The sequence below is a fragment of the Homo sapiens genome, chromosome 3 (genome assembly GCF_000001405.40).
Source record: "Homo sapiens chromosome 3, GRCh38.p14 Primary Assembly".
Lineage (NCBI taxonomy): Eukaryota > Metazoa > Chordata > Mammalia > Primates > Hominidae > Homo > Homo sapiens.
Window position 1 is genome coordinate 133,493,495 of NC_000003.12, and position 6,000 is coordinate 133,499,494.

Consider the following 6,000-nt stretch of genomic DNA (forward strand, 5'->3'; position numbering starts at 1 on the left):
TTTTTTTTTTTAAAGAAATTCCGGCCAGGTGCAGTGACTCACACCTGTAATCCCAGCACTTTGGGAGGCCGAGGCAGGTGGATCACCTGAGGTCAGGAGTTTGAGACCACCTGACCGACACAGTAAAACTCCATCTCTACTAAAAATACAAAAATTAGCCAGGCATGGTGGTGGGCACCTGTAATCCCAGCTACTTGGGAGGCTGAGTCAGGAGAATCACTTGAACCCGAGATGGAGGTTGCTGTGAGCCAAGATGGCGCCATCGCACTCCAGCCTGAATGACAGAGTGAGACCCCATCTCAAAGAAAATAAATAAATAAAATAAAAAAGAAATTCCAACCAAGAATTTCATATTCAGCCAACTGAGCCTCATAAGTGAAGGAAAAACAAGATCCTTTTCAGATAAGTAAATACTAAGAAAATTTGTTACCCTTATATAATTAATATTCTATAATGGTAAAGGTTTCAATTCAACAAGAAAACCTAACTATCGTAAATACATATCCACCCAACACAGGAGCACCCAGATTCATAAAACAAGTTCTTGGAGACCTAAGAAGAAATTCAGATAACCACACAATAATAGTGGGAGACTTCAACACCCCACTGACAGTATTAGACGGATCATCAAGGCAGAAAACTGGTAAAGATGTTCAGGACCTGAACTCAACAAAACCAAATGGACCTAATAGACACGACAGAACTCCTTATTAGAAGCGAAGAAAAGACACTCCCAATATAATAGTCTCTCACTATTACTGTGTGGTGACAAAGACCCTATCTCTAAAAATAAAAAGTTTAAAAAAAAATCAAGAAATTAGCATTGGTGATAATATTATTATCCAGTCTGAATATTCTATTCAGATGTTGCCAGATGTCTCAATAATGTCCTTTAGAACAAAAGAACATTTTAGATCACAAGTAACATTCAGTTGTTATGTCTCTTTAGTCTACTTGAATCTGAAGAAGTCCTCAGCCTTTCCATCTGCATTTCATGACATTGGCATTCTGACAAACACAAATGTATTAGTTTCCTAGGCCGGCCATAACAAATGATTACAAACCGGATGGCTTTAAACAGCACAAAGTTATTTTCCCACTGCTCTGATAGCTAGAAGTCCAAAATCAAGGTGTCAGCGGGGCTGTGCTCCCCCCAGAAACCTGTAGGGGGAATCTTTTCTTGCATATTCCCAGCTTCCAGTGGTTGCCGGCAGCCCCTGGTGTGCCTTGGTTTGCAGCTGCAGCCCTGCAGCCCCTGCCTCTGTCTTCACGTGTTGTTCTCCCTTTGCGTGTCTGTGTCTCTGTGGCTTTTCTTCTCTTCTAATAAGGATACCTGTCATATTGGATTAAAGGCCCATTCTCCTCTAGTAGGACCTCATCTTAATTAATTACATCTGCAACAACTCTTATTTCCAAATCAGGTCACGTTCTGACATAGTGGGGATTCAAACTTCAACATATCTTTTTTTGGAGTCACAGTTCAATCCGTCTCAACAGGGCAGTTATTTTACAAAATACTCCTCAACTTGAGTTCTGGTATTTCCTCAGGTTAGATTCAAGTTGCACACTTTCAGTTGGAATACCATAAAACTCACCAGGAGGCATGTGATATCAATATGTCCCTCTCCTGGTGATATTAATTTTGTTTACTGGGTTCAGGTGGCGTGTGCCAAGCTTCTCCACTGTAAAGTTACTGTTTTTCCATTTGTAATTAGTAAGTATCTTGTGGAAAAATATTTTTAGTCTATTTTGAGTAAATATTGTTATTCCTCAAACTTTCTGTCCCAGAAGTTTTAGTTTTAGCATCAATTGATGATTCCTGCCCACGTCAATTATTACTTATTATGGTTGCCAAATGGTGATTTTCAAATTCCATCATTTCTTCTACATTTTTTAGTTGGCTTTCTTCTATAAGAAAAAATGTTCTGGCCGGGCACGGTGGCTCGCGCCTGTAATCCCAGCACTTTGAGAGGCCAAGGCAGGAGGATCACCTGAGGTCGGGAGTTCAAGACCAGCTTGATCAACATAGAGAAACGCTGTCTCTACTAAAAATACAAAATTAGCTGGGCGTGGTGGCACATGCCTGTAATCCCAGCTACTCGGGAGGCTGAGGCAGGAGAATTGCTTGAACCTGGGAGGCGGAGGTTGTGGTGAGCCAATATTGCACCATTGCACTCCAGCCTAGGCAACAAGAGCGAAACTCCATCTCAAAAAAAAAGAAAGAAAGAAAGAAAGAATGTTCCTTTCTTCCCTATTGTGTGTGTGTGTGTGTGTGTGTGTGTGTGTGTGTGTGTGGTGTGTGTGTGTTTATATCAGCATGAACACATGGAGGGGCTGCAAGTTTTGAGCAGGGCCTAGAGCAAAAAGGCATCTGTAGCAAGCTGAGGTGTGGAGCCAGCTGCCTGCCACTGCACCTATGACCAGCATGCCCAATAATTGTGGAAGTATCTGTTGCAGACAAAGGTAACATATAGAACCCTTGGCACGCCACAGTAGGAGAATAACAGTCATAGGATATTTGAGAAAGGCTATGTCCACCACTGTTGTCAGTTAGTCTCCACTAAAAAGCAACTCCTGACTTCCTCCTGAAACCTCATGGACTGAGCACTTGGCTTCAGGACCTACTCTGTACCTGGGCTATGTGAATGGGTGCTCCTCCTGCTGAACACCAGTGTATTCCAGCAATAGGGAGCACCAGCAGGAGAATGAGGGACGAAAGAGAGTGAGGTCAGTGTATTTATTGCCCTGCCCCTCCCTGCAGCATCACCACAGGCCAGTTCTGATGATGAATTGAGGAAAAAATATCACTCCTATGATATTTTTACCAAAAATGCGTAATCCAAATCTAATCCTGAGAAAACATCAGACAAGCTCAAATGGAGGCACAGTCTACAAAATCATTGGCCTGTACAACCCAAAAAACATCAAGTTTATAAAAGACAAGGGAAGACTGAGGAACTGTGCAGATTAAAGAAAACTAAAGAAACCTGACAACTAAATGCAACCCATGAACCTGGATTGTATCCTGGACCAGAAAATTGTTTTCTTTTGTTACAAAGGACACATTTTGGACAACTGATGGAATTTAAATAAAGTCTGTAAGTTAGATAATAATATTGTATCAATGTTTATTTCCTAATTTTCTTATAACTGTATAAAAGATTAGGTTCATGCTATACATGCTGTTTTTGTTCTTTTGTTGTTGTTGTTTTTGATTTTGTTTTTTTTTTTTTTTCTGAGACAGGGTCTTGCTCTGTCACCCAGGCTGGAGTGCAGCGGGTGCAGCGGTGCAATTTCAGCTCACTGCAGCCTTGACCTCCCCAGCTCAATCAATTAGCCCTCCCATCTCAGATTCTCAAGTAGGGACTACAGGTATGTACCACCACACCAGGCTAATTTTTTTTTTTTTTTTGTAGAGGTGGGGTTTCACCATGTTGCCCAGGCTGGTCTCAAACTCCTGTGTTTAAGCGATCCACCCGCCTCGGCCCCACAAAGTGCTGGGGTTACAGGTTTGAACCACCACACCAGGCCTTAAATTTTAAATAGAGACGGAGTCTTACTATGTTGCCCAGGCTAGTCTTGAAGTCCTGGGCTCAAACAATCCTTCCACCTCAGCCTCCCAAAGTTCTGAGATTATGGAAGTGAGCCACCATACCCAACTTATGCTGCTTTTTAAGAAAACTGAGTTTTTAGTTTAATTTCACTTGAACTTAACACAAGAAAAAATGAAATTAAATTGAAAGAAATGTTAGACTTTTAACACATTTTTTTCACCTTAGGAAATATTCGTTGTTATAGGATTCTTCTGTTTCTATAGGTTTAAAAAAATGAAAGCTGTTAAGAGGTTGGAATGTTATACATTACTTTTAAGTGCATGTTTCATTTTTACATAGTATCAATTCTCTCTATACTATAAAACATGTAATTATTGGCATAGGTATATTTCTTCCTTTTCCCTTCTCTTTCACTCTTGTTTGTTGCTCATATCATTTCTACTTTATCAAGCTTTATAGTCTGGGCACGGTGGCTCACACCTGTAATCTCAGCACTTTGGGAGGCTGAGGTGGGCAGATCACTTGAGGTCAGGAATTCAAGACCAGCCCGGCCAACCTGGTGAAACCCCATCTCTACTAAAAGTACAATAATCAGCCGTGCCTGGCTGATTAGCATCATTCTTAATCAATTTTTCCAAATGAATGCTATGTTTTATCTGCCTGAAAATTCTCTTCTTTTTTCTTCTTGGGGCATTTGTTTTGTATTATATCTCTGAATATATTTTTCTGGTTTTATTTGTTAGACTCTCTACTTCAAAGCCATCAAAGGATTATCTTTGCCCTTTTCTATGTCTATCATTTTCTTTCTAGATTAAAAAATTTTTTTTCTGGCTGGGCGCGTTGGCTCATGCCTGTAATCCCAGCACTTTTGGAGGCCAAGGCGGGTGGATCAGGAGTTCGAGACCAGCCTGGCCAACATAGTGAAACCCCATCTCTACTAAAACTACACAAAATTAGCCGAGTGTGGTGGTGGGTGCCTGTAATCCCAGTTACTTGGGAGGCTGAGGCAGGAGACTCGCTTGAGTCCGGGAGGCGGAGGTTGCGGTGAGCTGAGATCGCACCATGGCACTCCAGCCTGGGCAACAAAAGCGAAACTCCATCTCAAAAAATAAATAAATAAATAAGTAAATAAATAAGTAAATAGATAAATAAATTTTTCTAACCAACCAGGGAACTATTTAAAAATAATAATAAATAAATTTAAATTAAGTTTTTTTCTCTCTTTTCTCTGTATTAATTGTGATTACCAATTACAATCTCAACATTTTGGGAGGCCAAGGTGGGAGGATTGCTTGAGGATATGAGTTCAAAACCAGCCTAGGCAACATAGCAAGACCCTGTCTCCACAAAAAATAATACAAAATAATTAGCCAGGCATGGTAGCACCCACCTAGAGTACCAGCTACTCAGGAGGCTGAGTGGGGAGGATCACTTGAGCCCAGAAGTTCCAGGCTGCAGTGAGCTATGATTGCACCACTGCACTCAAGCCTGGGCAACAGAGTGAGATCCTGTCTCAAAAAAAAAAAAAAAAAAAAAAAGTGGTTGTCCCAAGTGTCTCCACCAAAATTTAGCTTCCAGCCATGTCTATTCAGTTTCTAACTATATTGTTTATTTATTACATAACTAATAATGTTAATTTTTCTTTAGCTCTGCAATATCCTCTTCAACACATTCTGTTGTCTTAGCTTATCATCTCATAGATCTTATTATTTTAAAATTATATTCTATGTGGGGTTTTTTGGGGGGCTTTTTGTGGGTTTTTTTTTTTGAGACAGACTCTCACTCTTGTCACCCAGGCTGGAGTGCAGTGGCACAATCTCAGCTCACTGCAACCTCCATCTCCTGCGTTCAAGCAATTCTCCTGCCTCAGCCTCCTGAGTAGCCAGGATTACAGGCACCTGCCACCACGCCCAGCTAATTTTTGTATTTTTGAGTAGAGACAGGGTTTCGCCATGTTGGCCAAGCTGGTCTCGGACTCCTGACCTCAGGTGACCCACCTGCCTCGCCCTCCCAAAGTGCTGGGATTACAGGCATGAGCCACCGTGCCCGGCCTGTTCTATGTGTTCTTATAGTGCAAAGCATTTGTGGAAAACGTGCCCTTGTTAGAGAGTTATGTTCTTCTGTACTGGTATCTTTGTATGCCTTTTGCGTTCTAATCATTTATTCAACATATATTTGAGTACCTACTACTGTAAGACAGTTTTTGGGCTCTGGTGATACCACAAAATAGAAAAAGTCCTCGTTTTCATGGTGCTTATACTGTGTGTGTATGCTGGTGTGTGTACATAGTGTGTGTGCTGTGGCAGGTATTTGGGTTTGCTATAATATGTTTACATAGTTACTACACATTTCCTGCCATTTTACTGACAGTTAAACTGGGCGGTGTTATCTAAGTCTTTCATCTCTCTAACAAAGTGAAGAGTGAATTCTCCTTGACATTGTGTTC